Here is a 19,926-nt window from a genome sequence, read left to right as displayed (position 1 = left end):
TTCCCCATGCTCTGGAGAATCCCAGCTTTAATTATTAAGACATGACTACTGCCCAACCATGACATGGTTGTCCGTGCCAGCTTACTTGTCCTAGGATCCTAAGATATAAATCTGTATTTTTGTATATATATATATATATATATATATATATATATATATATATAAAATATATGGGTATACACACATCCCATCAGTAAGAAATTATGCTTATATAGGAATAAAATATAAATATCATTTTTTCTTCCAATTTATGTGTATTATATTTTATATGGGCTACTGAGTTGTTAGGACATAAATATTTACACCATCACTTGGTATAAATAACTTTTAAATGTTTAGTTTTCTAGTAGCATCACATATAGGTTATGTAGATTATGACTACAGTTCTAAAATTGTACACCAAGATGCCTGGGAGCACTATATTGAGCTCACAGGGGTCCTGTGAATGTTTTAAAAATTTAAGAGAAGTACAGCAATATTCAGCACCCACTGGACTTCGTGTGAATGACAGGCTCAAGGTAGTCTGCAGTTTCAACATTAGATTTTGCAACACTTTTTTTGGATGATGCCCTAATTTACAAATATAGCTGCTATGATGAAAGGAAAGTACTATGAAAAAAGCAATGTAGAAAAAGAAGTGAGGATGGCAGTGGCCAATGTGATCCCAAGATATGAGAAATGCTGCAGGGCTCAGGTAGCACACACATCCCAACAATAAGCAATTTTGGTCATTTAAGAATAAAATATAAATATCACTTTTTTCTTTCAATGTATGTGCATTGTTATTTTATATGGCTACTGAGTTGTTAGGACATAAATATTTAGTAAGATGTTTGGACCTATTATTTCATAAATGGAACTGCAAGGTGTTTCTTTTGGCTTAGGGGTGCAAGAAAAAGCTTGAGACACTAAGGGCTTCATGAGCCATGGAATCTGGGAACATCTGGACTATGTGTAAATAGCACCCTCTGAGTTGGGCAGTTCACGCTGTATGTGATCCTAGGTTATACAGGAGAAATCTTGTTAATTTCAGACATGCCTCTTTATTAATCTCTTTCTAATTTTATCATCTCAACGAGTTGCCTATGATATGAATGTTGAGAAATAGCTTCTCATTTCCAGAAAATTAAATACAATTTAAAAAATCAATAGAAATGAAGGAAGAATTCTTACCAGGCCTGGAAGTTCACAGCATTTGTCTGTATTGGCCCATGATGTGGAGCAAACAATATCAAACATCTGTAACTGGAACTATGATTTAAAAAGAAAATTGTCATTCAATAAAATATATATAAATTATCTTTATAATGATTTTATGTTATGTATTATATAACAGAATACCAATACATTAATAATACATTACAGTAAGTAAATTAAAAAGTAACTCCAACAATGTCAAACTAATTTTTTTCCTCAAACACATAGTGATCTAAGATTTTGTCTACAATTATTCATCCACCATCTAAACCCTCTTATTTATCAAAACTTCCCCTCTCATTTCTACTTAAAGAGTAAGCTTAGCTCCTCTGTTAAACTCTTCCTTACAAAGCCCATCACAGCTGCTCCCAAATGACTCTGTAGTCACACAACACTCCATATGCCTCCTCTATAGCACACCTCCCACTACACAATTATTTACATTACCAAACTCATCTTTAGGTCACCTATCATAATATGTGGCATATAAAAAGCACTCAGGAAGGCTTATTGAATTAATTATCACTTCATTCCTTTGTACATACACTCAGTAACTTTTTCTTCAGTGCATAATATAAGCCAGATACTATGTAGACTTTTAGGATACAAACATTTTTTAAAAAATCATAGTCCTGACCTAGAAGAACTTACAGGGAGTGAGAGGGGAGCACATAAATATGGTACACAATGTGGCAAATGTCATGACAGCTTCACATTCAGTATTGTGAGAATGTAAGCTATGTGTATTCTTATTTAAGCCATTGATCATGCCATAAATATTTAGACAGGCTTGCTCCACTCATGTATGTTGGTGATAAGTCAATGTACATGTTGAAATATACAGAAACATAATTACAACATCATTAAGGGCTAACACTAGCTTAATGACCCAATCATTTTTACTATATTTCTTCCTACATTATTTTCAAATATTAAGAGTGTGCTCTATTACTGATCTGGGAGAAGGATGAAATTGTTTTCATTTTAAATCTGTAATCTTGCTTTCAGCAAGTGGTGTTTTCAGCAAAGACTGGAAACTCTTGGTGCCTTCCTTATTTTCTCCCAAATAGTACTATCCATCCTTCGCCAAACATCTTCTAGAAAAATGGTAATGCCCAAGTAGATAGTACTATTGAAACATGTTATTAAAAATGCATGCACTATCACAAAATAACTTGTTCTGACAGTAAGCAGAATGAAATCGGGCTTTCTGTCATTATACTCAAGTAATTATGCCTTATTGCAAACATTCATTCCAACTGATCAATAAAGTAACCCCTGAATTTTGAAAGCAAATCCATAAGTCAAAGCATCTTATTTTCATGATCCCATATACACCTTATTGAGCTGTTTGCAGAAATATGTGCATGGCTCACTGCTTTTTTTTTCCAGGTGGTTTAAGGTTCCCCTCCACCATCCAAGAGTATGATAACTGAGACTGTCCAGGGCAAACAAACAAACAAAAATTATGTCCAATAAAAAATTAAGTTTTTATTAGGTTGGTGCAAAAGTAATGTCAAAACTGCAATTGCTTTTGCACCACCTAATAAAATTAAAACATTTGGAAAAATACATTATAGCTTATTTTTATAAACAATTACAACAACACTAACAATAAATATTTCAAAGATCATACGGATTCTGAGAGTATGGAGCTAGACTGCCTGGGTGTCATCTCCAACTCTTCCACTGACAGACTGAGTTACTTTGAACAAATTATTTAATGTCTTGGCATCTTAGTTTTCTCATCTGTAAAGTGAGCATAATAATAGTACCTATTCATGTGGTTGTGAGGATTAAATGAGTTAGTATAGAGGAAATATTTAGAACAGTACCTGGAACATAGTTGCTATAAATAATAAATATTAGCTTTCTCATAATTGATTTGTTTAAGGAGAAGGTGTACATATAATACAAAGGCCAAAAAAGTAGAATCAAAATGACAGTGACAGTATTGAGGACAGAAATATAATAGTAGTTTGTTTCCACAATAATAATATCTATGAAATGTTTTGATTCAGAAAAATCTTAGTAAATAACAACAACAATAGCAACAAACATTTGCAGAAATGAATGCCAGGCACTATCCTAAGCACTTTGCATATATCTTTACATCTTCAGATTGCCGCTATGGGGTATGATCATAGCAAAGTCCATTCTGTGGAATAGGACCGGGGAAGAAAAAGTTTAAATAACGTAATCACATGTTGAAGGCTTAGTTCTGTTTGAGATTTAAATGGCATGCCCCATTTTCTTGTGGTTTATTTTCCAGTAAACTGATCTTTGATCTAACGTTTAAAATGCAGATAGCCCAATGAAATCTTACAATGCCATTTTGTCTTGGGACATTTATTAAATAGGTCCCATTATGACAGCATTGGATAGATTCAGCTAAGTCTGCAAATCATTTATCCATTAAGAAATTTTCCATTTCTGAGTAGAGCCCTCAGAGCAAAAACATTTTCATGAATGGAAAGACTTACTTAAAGCAAAGGCCTTTCACAAGCCCCAGTATACATCAGGATTTCTTGAAGTTTTTCAAATAAACATCTACCACCTAACCACCTATAACAGTCTAATGTCTACATTACAAACCTTTGACTGGACTTCTGCCTTATGAAATTATTGGGACTCTTAGGAGCTCAATTTATTTATTCCGGGGTTGAATGCTTACTAAGTGCTAAATGAAGCCAATATTATAATTTCAGGAATGTTACGTGGGCTGACTTTTCTTTTGCAAGTTAGATGATGTCAGCAGCTTTTTCTTTGAGTACAACAGATTTATTCATAATTGTTTGCACTTGTAATAGTTTAGATTCCTCAGCCTTTATTTAGGGACTTTTTTTTTCCAAGGCACATTTCAGGGGATTGATTAAAAGAGAAAAAAAGCCTTTGGCTTTTATTCCAAAAGCAATGACATACATATTTGTGCAAATTATACAGGAGACAGTACAAGGTGGTATGTCAAAGATCTCATATTTGAGTACCTTAAAATGCAAGATAGTGTGGCTCAAAATAAATAATACTTTAGAGAACTAATCCAAGAAGCAGCCCTTTTTTACTTTTGTAACGTTTTTGTAACTCACTGAAAATTATAAAAGATACATCTTTGCAAAAAAAAAAAAAAAAAGAGGAAGAGACACAAAACCTCCCACTTTCACTTTTCATAATCTCTTTCAAGGGAATACTTGAAATGAGCAACTACAAATGCTCATTTTTCATTGTTAGACATTTTTGCCTGGTATAGCACAAAAGGCAAGTCACTTGGGGTCAAATGTTAGCAGGAAAATAAGATTAAAATATTTCTTAGCAGTTGAGTCATTTTGATCTGTGAATGGGAATTAAAATGTACCTCTGGCTCCATTTTCCACTCAGTGCCAAATTTTATTCTCTGATTTTTTTTTCTAACATGTTTTAACTAAATTTATAATTTGAAGTAAAGCTGTACCTGAATTTATATAAATATCTAGAGAGCTTTACACTGCACAAGAATACTGGTGAAAGAGTACAGAGGAACTAAACCATTTTCTGTTTGTAATTTGATGTCTAACCTTTATTGACGCCATCACAAAACTAAGATTGTGCATTTACCACTTGTCAACTATTGAACTGATTGTTTTTAACTTGTTTTCAATCAATTTATTGAATTTAAGGGAAACCACGAAGGCACTGATTAAATTAGAAAATAAAATTCATAGCTATTGTACTTGTTGGTATTAATTAGAATTTTAAGGTATAGACACACTTGGGGGGTAGTTTTGATTACTTTGCTCTCAAGGTTGTAATTCAAATAATGGTAAATCTTTGAACCTGTCAATGTACAGATAGGACATATAGTCTCTAGTACAAACCAAACTTCCTTCTCTGCCTTTATTCTATAATTATCAGAGTCTGTCCTAATGGAAGAAGCACAGGAATGAAAGGCAGATGATCTTATAGAAGTTGGATACAGTCTCTTATTTCAGTACTCTCACTTTTTGAAAGGGGACCTGACCCTAGCTTCTTAAAGTCTCAGTTTCTCTATCTACAGAGTAGGGAAGATGCAAGTACCTCTTTCAAGGATTATTACAGGATTAAATGAAATAATCCCAGGAAAATACACACTGCCTAGCTCCTAGCAGAGATGTAATAACTATTAGCTATCATTATAATTTTAAAAGCTTAAAATAGATAATTCACATGAAAATATACTATATTTTTTAGCAATTTAACAACACTTATTTTCAAACAAGTGTTTGTAGAATCATCAACTAGTCTACTATTGATTTATATATAAAAGCTGTAACTCAGTGGCTAAAATGATAGGCAACTCCATAGCATAACTCATATGTCTCTGTTATTTGAACAGCAGGGAGCTAAATATATGCCAGTTGGATAATTACCTAAGTATTAGATTTGAAAGGTAGAAGAAAGGCACTAAGAAATATGATTGTATGCCAGAAGCTCAAAACTTTTCTAGAATCATTTCATTAGGTACCAGAAAATGCAGGAGAAACTTTTTAGGAGAAAAAAGTTTGGAAAGGAGAAGCACAGTTGTTAAGTTTCATTCCACATGTATTTAGACAGCTAAGTTAAGCCTGCTTGTTAGGTTAGCCCCAGTAGAGACTGTTACTGCCTATACAATCTTGCATTGCTGAACACCAGTTGATTTTATTAAGAACGTAATTTCTATCGAGTAGTTACTGTATCCTTAAATGCATTAATCTATCTTCCACTCAATTATGGTTTAAAAAGAATACAGTTTCTTTAAAGACTAAATGTTTAGACTTCCACCATCTGGCATTTATTGAATAATTGTTGGATTTGGCAGGGAATGGAGACCTATAAGTTACTAATCTCTCTTATATAATAATTACTCCTCCTAGAATAATCCAGAATTTGCACAACATACATTCCCTTTTGCTGGATATTAGAGTACAAATGTATATCAAGGTTAGATTGGCAGTCTGTGATTTCTAAATTTAAAATTGAAAACTGAGACTTCTCTTACCTTGTACTGAAATGATTAAGTAATATCCCTCAAAAAGCAAGTCTGAGTTTCCAATCACATTCTTGAGATCTAACTTAATACATTCATTTCAACATAATCAAATTCTTCAGTAAGTGGGCAGACTGAAAATCTAGTTAGTAATCCTTTGTAGACTTCTAGATTCAACAAATGCTATGACTTTTTTCCTACTAGCCTTACAAAGAACTCTTTAATTATTGACTTCTATAATTCTCCTTTGTCTACTACTAGTTGGAAATAACCACAGAGAGTGCTCTGTTTAATTCCATTTCTCTCATGGCCAAAAGTAAAGATTGATCACCAGTAGGCCTGAAACCTGAGGCATTTTTACTTTCAGAAAGAAATTAGTTGATATTTAGTTGGTCATATCTTTGGAGCATAATTATTACATACAGTATACGTTAAAATACAATTGTAAAACTATCATTGTGAAATATATTATAATTATAAAATAATTAGGAGAGGGTACAATATATATTATGGGACTATTGTCAACATCACACATGGAATATATGCAAAACAAAATTTTAAGAAAAGATATAATACAATTTGAACAGACAACATTCTATTTAATTTCTATCAAATGTTTCTTGAGAACTTACTCTGTTCATCAGTATTGAGTAGACACTGTGATGTAGGGTGGTTTTAAACAAAGACAATGACGCGGTTTCTATTTTGAGGCATTTATAATCTGGTTAGAGGAGTGAAATGTAGATATATGAAAGAGAAACAAAATAGTATGTGACTATCAATAATCAAGTGCTAGAAGTCTAGAAAAGGTGGGATGGAGGATGGAGAATGTGTTATAGACTTTCTTCAATAATAATAGTTGCTCTTCAGTGAACGCCTACTAACTTTCAGGAATTTTATATTCGTTATTTCTAAAATTAAGAAAATATTAATAATAGTATTATGTGATCTGGGCCCAGAATCTCATATACCTAGAATGGTTTCTCTTTCTTTGTGGTTTTTTGGTTTTTTTTTTTTTTTTTTTTTTGAGATGGAGTCTTGCTCTGTCACCCAGGCTAAAGTGCAGTGGCGCGATCTTGGTTCACTGTAACATCCGCCTCCTGGGGTCAAGCAATTCTCCTGCCTCAGCCTCCCGAGTAGGTGGGCTACAGGTGCGTGCCACCACATCCGGCTAATTTTTTGTATTTTTAGTAGAGACGGAGTTTCACCATGTTAGACAGGACGGTCTTGATCTCCTGACCTCATGATCCACCCACCTCGGCCTCCCAAAGTGCTGAAATTACAGGCGTGAGGCACTGCTCCCGGCCCGGATTCTCTTTCTTAAATTAGAGTCTATTCATTCATCATCCAAGTATCCATCTATATATCCATTTATCCATACAAGATATCCTTAGTTTGATAATTCTGTGTTTTTATAAATTCCTTCATGTACTATCATAGGAGTATCCTCCATTAAGCAGAAGATGGTGTGCTTTTTAATTATCATGAAATGCCACACATTAGGAGGAGACAAGTTTTTGAAATCATGTAAACATTCCCAAAAGTCTCTTACTGTAACTGAGAACAAGAGAGCCTTCCATAGCTTTCACATTCTCTTCCTAAACATCTAATCCATAATTCTCCAAAGCAAAGTAGAAACAAAGGAACTTTTAAAGATACTTCAACTGTAAGTGTTAAACTACTTAGCATCATCTACCTATCAAGGTCTGAAAGCTTCAGTGTCCCCCTATACATAAGGGGACACATTGCTACCATTCACTTCTATTGTTACCACAAAAATAAATGCTGCAAAATAGCAAAGTGCCCCAAAGTAAATCACTCTCCCACTTGGACTATTTCCTGTGTACTAAGTGAATGGTAGTGGAATTAGAACCATGGGTCTGTTTTATTTATTTGACATAGTATAGGATTTCATTTTTACAAAGTGATCTTCAGCTTTAAAAGTCTTGGAGAACTACCAGCTCTTGTATAACTGGCTAATTCTACAGATCTATGAAAGTGGGAGACAATAGTAATTCATAATTATCTTGATTGTTCTATTACATAAGAGAAGTGTAGATTAGAACAGTTGGGATTGTTTACAAGAATAAAATGCCTCACTATAGAATGACTCAAATTAGAGAATGCTGCTAATTAGCTGTGAATACACAGTATTAACACAAAAAACTGTGTGCACTATTCTTTTTTTTGTGGGTAATGAGTGATGGGAATGTGATTTCTTTGCCAACTGGAAGTCTCTCAGATTTAAATTCCATGTTGTAAGGTAAAAAATATATTATCTTAGAATGGTATGTTACTCAATAATCACAATAATTAAAGGGTAAACTTTACATTAGTGATAGCAAAACCTAGTTTTAAAATGCCCAAATCTAACCCAAATAAGAGGCTTATGTCAATTTCCTGTGTATAATATTCACTAATTTTGTGTGGATTTGTATTTGCTTATATAAATGAGGTTCATTTGCAGTTGTAATTCTTTTCTAAAAACCATTTATGCCCCAAACCATGTGATGAATATTTTACTATTTAAATTTTAAAATGCACTTAGAAAATAAACTAGCCTAATTCCTAATGCATATTCCATATAATACAGTGGAAGCATACTACCACAAGCTTTGAATGTACATGTCTTAATTCATTTAAAGAGGCCATTATTTATTTATCCATCCATCTATCCATCCATCCATCCATCCATTCATTCATCCATCCATTTATCCATTCATCTTTTTGTTAAACCTTTCCCCTGGAAAATAGCTAATGTACTTTAAAATAATTTCTCTCCCTTAACAATAACACAGCTTCACGGGTTTATTCACTTACCGGTGCAGAGTTTCCACCTGGTCCTCTTGATCGAACCATTTTCCCTAGCACTTCTACACCATCTGACGTGATATTAGCTGATGCGTTCATTGCCTTCTCACCCACTTGCTTGCAGTCAATAACCACTTTGACCAAAGTCTCACTGACAACAATGTGTAGCTAGGTAAAAGTAAGATGTTTTAGGAGGTAAGAAACAGAAGGAAATATCAACCAAATTTGTATAATTGTATGATTCATCATTACAAAGTATGAAAGAGAAGAGAAAGAATTCTGTCACCATGTATTTTGCCAAAAGAGAAAATTTCTACTTTTATCATCTCCATGATTTTCCCATATTCAAGTACCATCTCTATTTTTATCTATTTAACACTTCTTTCTAAAATGGCTTTGAAAGGATTCACTTTTTAAAGTCCGGCCTAACTCGAGAGCAATCGCATCTTTGAAATTACAGGACTGCTGTACTAGCCATGCCTTTTCTGAATGCACATTAAAATTAACACAAAAATATTAAAATTAAAAATCTTTGTTGATGTATCACCAACAATCATCCAAAGCACCACGAGTGGTTGGCAAACCACACTTCAAAAATATTTATTTAATTTAGGATGAGGAAAGGGGATCTAGAATCTGAGGGGGAAGAAGGAATGCTTTCTGGTGAACCCAGGTTCAAATAAAATAAAGCTGTTTAGCTTAGTGTATGGTACATTTTTCTCAAACTAGAATCTCAAGAATCTGGAGGTCCGTGATATTTTCAGGAGTTGACACATTCTTTGTAAGGACTCGTAAAATCTGTCTTATTTAGGTGATAGTCAAAGTTAGGTATATTCTAGATGAACTGGATAACTACTCTATGTCCAAGTTCTGCCATAAAATTTCAGTGCTTATATATGCATTGTAACTTACAATGGCATTAACCTCACGAGTACTACAGTACTTGTTTTTGGCAGACTGATGAGCTAAAAGAGTCAAATTAATAGGTAAATAATGATTTCACCCTAAGTAAAAGCCAAAAGAAGTTACAAATCTGTTTAAGATAAGGCATTACGGTAGTTCAAAGAAAAACCATGTTGGTCAATACAATCAAGGTTATGGGGTGAAATTAATAGGCAAATAACGGTTTTGCCCTAAGTAAAAGCCAAAAGAAGTTACAAATCTGTTTAAGGTAAGGTATCATGGTAGTTCAAAGAAAAACAATCTTGGGCAATACAATCAAAGTTATGGGAGTTATAGTAGCTAGCAGTGTATTCACATTGTAAGTACAGGTTGAATGTCAATGAAATAATGTCCTCTTTCACATTAAGATAGTGTTACTTTTAATTTTACTGGTTTTGTTCAACTTCATTTTTGTTTCATTGTTGCATACGAGCTGAAAGCACATGGACTTACACCAATTGTTATTTCATGTTTTATTTGAGTTAGATCATGATACAAATAATGTAAGTCAACAGTGGGACTCTTGAGAATCCTTTTCCTTCAAAAAGGAATTAACTATTGCCCAAGTATGGAAACATTGATGGAATAAACCCCACCACATTCCTTGCTTCTTATTAACATCTCTGTTGCAATCATTTACTAGAGTATAATTCAACTCTTATGTGTTTTTGAGCCTTAGAACACTTTCCAATATTATAGATTACAGAAATTTTCATACTGGGTGCTAGAAAACTTAGTTTCTAGTACCCCTGCCTTAAGAATTGTTAACTTGTGGGGAGTTATTCACATGCTTAATTTTTTTTTTTTTTGCTTTACAAAAGGAGATATTGAAAATTTTTCAAAGATATTTTGCTTCTTTGGTTGCACTTAAGTGCCCATTTATATAATTAAAACTTTTTGAAAGAGACCTTGGGCCCACACTTCATAGCCAAAGTGTAAAAAATAAAACTAACTGAAAATCAATGAGAAATTAAGATAAAGTATTTATTCATTTATAAGTCTATGAACAAATAGAATTCGACTTCTACAAATTGAATTTGCATTGAGATATTCTATTAATAGGTCTATTATAAAGTATTTTGTCACATGAGAAGCCTTTTTTGAATTTTTTTCCTTGTTTGGCTTTTTGGCTTTATTAACACTTAAAGTAGAGGGAAGTCTTCCTTCATATAACTTTTAAAAATTTGAAGGTTTATAAATTTTAAATCGATTTTTAATGAACCTCACTTCTTGAGTTCTTCTGGTAAGGAAATAAAGCTTAACCTTCACCTAAGACTTACAAAGGATTCTTTGGAATGAGAATTACAAGTTCATGCCTAAACCATGGGCTAAAATGACAATGTTTCTTTTAACACTCATGAAATCTCAAACGCTTTTCATCTCCCAAACAATTTTATTTTTTACTATTTTGCAATACACTCTCCATAACCAAGAAAATAAACATGCCAAGAGGAATTTGGTGAGTAAACAATGTTAAGTCCTAAGAGCTGCTAATGGGACCACTTTGAGCCATGAACTAATAAATCTCCACTGTATCTCATGTGCTTTTCAGATACCTTTTCTTCTGGTAGTACAGTCCTATTAAACAGGAAAAAAAGCAAGTTGTTTTTTTTTTTTTAGCAACTGTTCTTATGCAATTATGTGGTATGCAATTACGATATTCAAAACCACAGAAAGTAGCAAAGTTGCATAAATTAGATTGATTTGACCGCATTCTGGGCCATGAGACAGGAGCCAAGAAAATTGCTATGCAGCATCCCTTCTCTCACTTTAAAAGGGCAGTAAGGGCCTGGTTAGGAAGCAAAGCATTTTTCTACACCACCTAGTAAATGTTCTGCTCATCCTGCAGCGTAGGTGCTGCACTGCTTAACACTACAGATCAGTGGGATTATTCAAATACAAAGGAAGCAGTAGATGTTGGTAGATGTCCACCCCAATGATCACCACAGGTAAGTGTTTCTGAGAAGCAAATGTTAAGGAACATAGTTATACCACAAGTGCTGAGTTATTAAAATAATGACAAGTGGCCAGGCGCGGTGGCTCACGCCTGTAATCCCAGCACTTTGGGATGCCAAGGCAGGTGGATCACGAGGTCAGGAGATCGAGACCATCCTGGCTAATATGGTGAAATCCTGGCTCCACTAAAAATACAAAAAATTAGCCAAGCATGGTGGCAGATGCCTGTAATCCCAGCTCCTCGGGAGGCTGAGGCAGGAGAATGGCGTGAACCCGGGAGGCAGAGCTTGTAGTGAGCCAAGATCGCGCCACTGCACTCCAGCCTGGGCAACAGAGCAAGACTCCATCTCAAAATAAATAAATTAATAAATAAATAAATTAAATTAAATAATGACAAGTAAACTTAGGTTTTATAAAATTTTTCCGCAGGGTAACTGTTATGATGACAGTGATGGATTGCACTTGTATATATGTAAAAGTATTGGTGCAATCAGTTATCCCTATCTGCACATTTTAAGATGATTCAGCTGATTGTGCTTTCTTCTGCACTCATAGATAGCTAGTTGTACCAGCTAGACCAGCAATCTTTTCTACATCGCACCTAATGTAGCAAATGAGCAACTGTCCACTTGGTAATGCCATATCCTTAACTACATTTTTCCTCAAAGAGGAAAGTGCCCCCTTATTTTCGGGAGTGCCTGCCAAAAAAAAAAATGCACATTTCAGGGTCCTCTCTCAGAACTACCAAATCAGAATCTGTTAACAAGCACAGGTATTGTTAACAAGCACAAAGGAAATTCTCACTCCAGCTGAAATTTGAGATCCAAAGCCCTATGGAATTGTTTTTAAATGGCTTTGTTCAATAGCAAATAGAATAAAGAATATATGCATACAAAGCATTACTAACCTTGTGAAAGCTTCCATAAAAAATTTTCCTAATTTCAGGTCCTTCGAAAGTAACAGTTTGAAAATCCCCACTCTGGTCATAGTTGAAATATGTTAGAGTTTTCCCACCATCTATTGAAAGAAAAATAAAAATATTTTAGAAATAATTAAAGTAGGTGAATTTTGTTTTCTAAAATTCAACTCAAAACAAAACAATGCATCGATTGTTTTGAAACTGTATTTAGAATGATGTGATGAGTAAGGAAGTGTTCTACAGTCCCCAGGTTGCCGCAGACTTTTAGTTGGTTACATGAACTGATTAAGCCACTTGGTGATGACAGTGAGGCAAAGACTCCTACACATACTCTTACCTCTGTACTTCCTTGCCCAGACTCTCATTCCCATCACTCTCCTGGGAGAAACTGTCCAAAGCTGGAAGTAGAGGCAGACACAGCTGCTTTAAGTTTATCAAATCTTAAAGAATAGAAACCAGGCCCTTTGTCTCTTTTTTTTTTTTTTTTTTTTTTTTGAGATGGAGTCTCGCTCTGTCACCCAGGCTGGAGTGCAGTGGCATGATCTTGGCTCACTGCAAGCTCCACCTCCTGGGTTCACACCTTTCTCCTGCCTCAGCCTCCCAAGTAGCTGGGACTACAGGCACCCGCCACCACGCCCAGCTAATTTTTTGTATTTTTAGTAGAGACGGCTTGGTCTCGATCTCCTGACCTCATGTTCAGGATGGTCTCGATCTCCTGACCTCATGATCTGCCCACCTCAGCATCCCAAAGTGCTGGGATTACAGGCGTGAGCCACCGTGCCTGGCCGGCCCTTTGTCTTTTTAACCCACTGCAGCAACCAACTTTCCTAGGATGTGCAAATTACACCACCCAAGATATTTCATTCATTATGAACAAACAAGCAAAAATTTTTCTAATCTTAAATTATTCCTATTACAAGGAATATTTTATTATTTAAAAGATACTATGAATTAGAAAGAGAAAAGATTCTCACTCCAGCTGAAATTTGAGATCCAAAGCCCTATGGAATTTTTTTTTAAATGCCTTTGTTCAATAGCAAATAGAATAAAGAATATATGCATACAAAGCATTACTAACCTTGTGAGAGAATAATTCATATTATTCATTTATCTAATCTTTTTTCTTTCTAATTCATTCCTATGCTACAAATTAATACCTCTGTTTTCAAAAGGAGCAAGCTAGTCTTAATCATTTTAAGAAAATTCTTCATTTTCAAGTCCCAGGTATATATGAAGTTAGTAACATATACCCTTTCAATCTACAGCTTTTCCTTAGTTTTAATATCAATGCAAAATGCTTCCACAATATCATATTTAGTTGTTGATTAGTTTCCATGTACTGAAAAATCCTTTTACAAATACTAGTCGGAAATAAGCTTAATACTTTCCTTATCCGAATGTGTGACTTAGCACCTAGTAATAGCCTCCAAATTTTGGTTCCTAGGTTCATTGGAATCCTAAACTAAAACTAGATATAGAAAATTCAGTGATATTAACCAAAAAGTTGATCTGCTTAAGTGATCATCATGTACAACATCCAAGAGCTTGAGGTTGATGGTACAACATCCAAGAGCACAAGGTTAAGAAGCTTCCTTCATTGGTTCTTCCTCACGTTTCCAACCTCCAAACATTGGCATTTCCCAGCCTCCAGACTTATTCTCTGCTCTTTCTAGACTCATTTTCTAGTTGATCCCACCCAGTCTCATGGCTTGTATAGCAAAGACACACAACTTTCAAATGTACATCTCCATCCCAGAATTCTTTCTAAATATGCTGCTGTCAATCTGACATCCATTCTGGGATATCAAATATGCATCTTACTTTTATTATGTCTATGTCCAAAAAATGAACTGTGGTCCCACCCCTCCCATTGACCCTCCAAGGGCCTTGCTCTGTCTGTAGTTTTCCCTCTCCCAGTAAAAATTGTTTTTCTCTCTTCTCCTTCCTCACTACTGCATCCCAGGCTTAGTGTTGGCACAAAATAGGAACTCAAGAAATATTTGTTGAAAGAATAAGAGAATAAATGGATAAACCAACTGCTATATAATTCATTGTTTAGTATTTACACATCACATAAGATTAGTGAGTTACTCTGTAATATACACAAACAGGCAAAATGGCATGCCACATACATTACTCATACATGTATATGTGAATGTGATCTCAATAAATATACTTACTGTCTAAAATAACCCCAACCAATGGGTCAGAATTTTTATTTAAAATCTCCCAAAGAGCAAATGGCTCCTGTGGAGTGTCAGGAAGAATCCGGAATAGAAAACTGATTGTGTAGTCGGAGGGCAATCCTTCTGGGTGCAAGTACCTGAACATAGAAAGAAAACCATGTTTCATTGTATCCTTCCTCAAAAAAGTTACTCCTTTGATTATAAAGCAAATACATTTTCATTACACAAGATTTGGAAAAACAGAAAAGACCACCATTAACACCAACTAGATCACTGTTGATCTAATTTAGTAAAGAATGTGTGCATTTGTCCAATTTATATCATTTTGTCCCTTTCTTAGCACCATTTAATAGTCATTTTCCATTTCCTTAAATATTTTTAAGAGCATGATATTTCATGGCTGTACAGTCTTCTCTTGTTTGGCTATTTTATCACTTACCTAATCAGTCACTTCTCACTGAACATTTTAGTAGTGTCAAAGGTTTTCATGTAATAAACTATGTTGATCTATTATCCTTTTGTAAAACATAACTTATGACATTATCACTTTCTACTACATATTGTAGTCAATTGCATTCCCATCTGTGTTGCACCATCCAGATCCACCTTCCAAAATTAAGGGTACATTACCCCTGGTCCTGGGAGTGTTGTCTGCAGACAGGTTTCAGACACCAATCCCCCTTCAGAAATTGTCTTGGCTGAAAAAGGATGCCTCTCCCAAGGTCATGCCACCTTACTAGGAAACCTCTTTTCAATGACTGGTCATTGAGGAAGTATAAGGACCTGAACCCCTGAACCCAATGGGAGACAGATCTGAGGGGCCATACCATTTTCAGAACTCTTCTGGGTGGGTGGAGGCTTTTACTGAGATTCTTCACAGCTTGACTTCTCCCTCTTGGCTTGTCCTGTGTCCTGCTGTTCCCTTCCATGAGGGAACACCCTCATCAACTTCCCACATGCTAATCTCTCCCAGAAAATCTGCTTCCTGAAGAGCCCAACCTAAAATATCATCTTGTCTCTCTTTCTAACAACTAATGTTACTTTTACTCATTTACTTTTTAAATCTTCCTCCAAGCAAAAAAATACAACCCTTTACATATAGTAGGAACCCCATAATAGTTATTAATTGAATAAATAAATGTGCAAGTTTAGCGTGCGTTTGAAAATGAAAGTTTGGTTTGCATAGATAAAAATAAATATTCATTTATTTATATATTCATTAATTCATTTGTCCATTCAATAAGTATTTTTGAGTGCCAACTATATGCCAGACATTGTAACAGACATTTAAGATACATCAGCAAATAAACTGACAAAGGTCCTGTGATGGAAAATTTTAGGTTTCAACTTGACCGGATTAAGGAATATCTAGAAACCTGGTAAAGCATTATTTTGGAGTATATCAGTGAGGGTGTCTCCAGAGGATATTAGCGTGCGAGTCTGAGTGAGCTAGGTGGGGCAGATCTGCCTTCAATGTGGACAGACACCATCTAATTTGCTGGGGATCCAGAGATAGAAACAAGAATAAGGCTTTTTTGTTCTTGCGATAGTTTACTGAGAATGATGATTTCCAATTTCATCCATGTCCCTACAAAGGACATGAACTCATCATTTTTTATGGCTGCATAGTATTCCATGGTGTATATGTGCCACATTTTCTTAATCCAGTCTATCATTGTTGGACATTTGGGTTGGTTCCAAGTGACAAGTTAGTGGGTGCAGCGCACCAGCATGGCACATGTATACATATGTAACTAAACTGCACAATGTGCACATGTACCCTAAAACTTAAAGTATAATAAAAAAAAAGAAACAAGAATAAGGCAAATGTGTCTATAAAGTAGCTAAGTAATGCAATTTTTATATAAACCTGATTACTACTCTTCAACTTTCTAGAGTTGCTGTTGTGACTGTCTCAAAGATAAAAGCCATTTGAACCATATAGCACTATCATGAAATGGTTCAGGATCTGAGCACTGGAGCTTGATAGCTGGATATAAATTCCAACATTGCCATTTAACTATGTGAGCTCACTCAAGTCATTTAGCTTCTTTGTGTTTCTGATTCATTATCTGTAAAATTTAGATAATAATAGAATCTACTTTCATAGAGGTGTCTGGAGGTTTGAGTGAGTTAGTGTACATAAGCATTTAGAAAGATGGCTGGGAGTAGTGCTATATAAGTATCAACTTTTTTTTTTTTTTTTTAAAGACGGGGTCTTGCTCTTTCACCAAGATTGAGGTGCAGTGGCGTGATCATGGCACACTGCAGCTTCAACCTCCTGAGCTCAAGCAATCCTCCCACCTCAGTCTCCAGAGTAGCTGGGACTACAGGTGCACACTACAATGCCCAGCTAATTTTTTTATTTTTATGTTTTTGTAGAGACTCTTATTTTGTTGCCCAGGCTGCTCTCAAACTTTTGGCCTCAAGTGATCCTCCCACCTTGGCCTCCCAAAGTGTTACGATTACAGGAATGAGCCACAGCATCCAGCAATCATTTTTATATGTTGTCTCAGATCAGCAGATGTTAAAGTTCAACCCGCATTATGTGTGAGTCTGGTGTTTTTAAACAAAGAAATGTAAATATCTTCTACTCTAAATGTCGTGGAAAATCCTACCTGGGACTATTACACCATATTTCAAGTTGACATCATTTTCACAGTGAGATATAATAAACATACGATGACTTTAAAATCTTTCAACAGAAACATACCTGGTTGGCTGGGAAACCAGGGCATCTTTATGGAGTTGGTAACATGGAAACACATTGAAGGTACCAGGCTCCATAGAAACCCCTTCCACTGATGAAAAATCTTTTTCAACCAAACCAAACATTTCCATCATCTTAAATCCTAAAAAAAAAAAAAAAGTAGAAAAAGAATAAACATAAGGAATATGGCACTTTAGAATTTTAAATTTTAATATTTTTCTATTAAGGATTTAAAAACAAAAACAGAAACCCCATCCCCAATTGAGAGGCCTGTAATATATTTTGTGTTTGAAAAGATTGTGATAATGCATACCTGCAAGATCAATGCCATCCTTGTGTACCACTGGACAGGCTGGAAAACCAAACAAACAAAATAAAACTCTAATTCGGATATTTCACAAACATACTCTTTCCCTGTCCTGAGAACAGGAAACTAATACAATCTTTCCAGAAGTTGATTGTGGAGAGAATACAAATCAAATGTGACTATGGTTTTCTGTGGTTTCATGAAGATTGAAATGTGCTAAGGTCCCTTATTACAACTAAAGGACCACAGCTTCCTTCTCTCCTGGGTTCATTAAAATCAGTGGTTATCACCTGAGAGCATGTATTGGGGCACATCTCCCTTGTAATATGTTGCCCAGATGAGAATTCTTAATACATTTTACATCTTAATACATTCTTAATACATTGAAAATTATTTACTACATCTGTTTAAGCACAGTTGCTTTTAAACATAGACTGTCATCTGATTAGGGAAGGTTTTTATCATTCTAAACTCTAAACAGAGGAGGGGAGGTTTATTTCCATATGCTCAAAGCCACAAAACTTAATGTCTATATAACAAGCAGTACTGGAAGTCAATATTCTTTTCTCAGATCTAGATCGGACTCACTATTTAACCAGTGTCAAATATTTCAGCTGTTAAGCAACATGAGTAAGTACAAATTCCAAAGAACTAACTTGCTGATGCTGTTTCGCAGACAAAAGTAATTAACTCATCTTCGATTTTCTTAAAGGCGTCAAAGTCATCCACAAAGAAGACATGGCGTGCGCTGGGCTTACTGCCAATGCTAACCAACTCCGAGTAATCTGCATCGGCCACACCAATTGCAAAAATGCTATAGCCTGTGGCAGACAGAGAACAGATTTCCGATTACTTTAAATTGTACAAAACACAAATAATGTAATATAAGACACATCCAACTGTTTAAAATATGTTTATTTAGGAAGGCCCATGGGGGTGGATAATTCATTCTTTACAGTTCATCAGAGTTCTGCATGTATATATTTCATTATGTGATAATGATTCCATCATCCCCTAAAGAGATTTTCCATTTTAAAGAAACCCAAGAAGACCAAGGCCCCAAATTGTGCCTGAGACGAAGTAGTTTGCATTTGAGTAATATCTCTATGGTTGCATATTCTTAAAAGTTACTTTTAACATTTATGGTATGAAATATACTTGAAACAGAGACACTGAGCTTATCTCAGTTTTTTTTTTTTTTTTCAGAAGTAGAAGCTGAGACATTAATAGGCCTAGCAACCTAAGGTGGGCCACCATTCAATGCTTGGCAAGTAAATAGAACTACTATTTGCCATAACTTATGTAATTTAATCTTCACAGCAGTCCTGTGAGAATCTCTATTTTACAGATTAAGAGGCTGAGGAATTTCTGTAATAAGGTTCCTTCCCTGGTCCATATATATATATATACATTCAATCAATATTTTTTCTTTTTTACACAATTTTACTTTAAATTCTGGGATACACGTGCTGAAGATGCAGGTTTTTTACATAGGTATACGTGTGCCATGGTGGTTTACTGCACCTATCAACCTGTCATCTAGGTTTTAAGCCCTGCATGCATTAGGTATTTGTCTTAATGCTCTCCCTCCCTTGCCCCCCACCCCCGACAGGCCCCCGTGTGTGATGTTCCCCTCCCTGTGTCCATGTGTTCTCATTGTTCAGCTCCCACTTATGAGTGAGAACATGTGGTGTTTAGTTTTCTGTTCCTGTGTTAGTTTGCTGAGGATGATGGTTTCCAGCTTCATCCATTTCCCTGCAAAGGACATGAACTCATTCTTTTTTATGGCTGCATAGTATTCCATGGCTTATATGTGCCACATTTTCTTTATCCAGTCTGTCATCGATGGACATTTGGGTATGATTAAGAGGCTGAGGAGTTTCTGTAATAAGATTCTTTCCCTGGTCCTTTTCTTACAGT

At 35.1% G+C, this 19,926-nt stretch overlaps 1 protein-coding gene across 11 annotated transcripts in view; it reads right to left on the bottom strand.

Moving 5' to 3' along the window:
• The window catches only part of COL14A1 (collagen type XIV alpha 1 chain), a 249,120-nt gene that overhangs the window by 74,812 nt on the left and 154,382 nt on the right, over positions 1-19,926 (bottom strand). For all 11 annotated transcript variants that reach the window (NM_001413490.1, NM_001413491.1, NM_001413493.1 and 8 more), the window contains 7 exons: positions 18,663-18,827; positions 18,013-18,051; positions 17,703-17,841; positions 14,984-15,126; positions 12,792-12,901; positions 8,996-9,154; positions 1,174-1,251 (listed from right to left, as the gene is read on the bottom strand). In NM_001413490.1, coding sequence (NP_001400419.1) covers positions 1,174-1,251; positions 8,996-9,154; positions 12,792-12,901; positions 14,984-15,126; positions 17,703-17,841; positions 18,013-18,051; positions 18,663-18,827 — 833 coding nt within the window. The remainder of the gene's footprint in view (positions 1-1,173; positions 1,252-8,995; positions 9,155-12,791; positions 12,902-14,983; positions 15,127-17,702; positions 17,842-18,012; positions 18,052-18,662; positions 18,828-19,926) is intronic.

This window comes from Homo sapiens, chromosome 8 (assembly GCF_000001405.40).
Source record: "Homo sapiens chromosome 8, GRCh38.p14 Primary Assembly".
Lineage (NCBI taxonomy): Eukaryota > Metazoa > Chordata > Mammalia > Primates > Hominidae > Homo > Homo sapiens.
The sequence above is the reverse complement of the archived record's forward strand: the minus strand, read 5'-3'. Positions and strand labels throughout refer to the sequence as shown.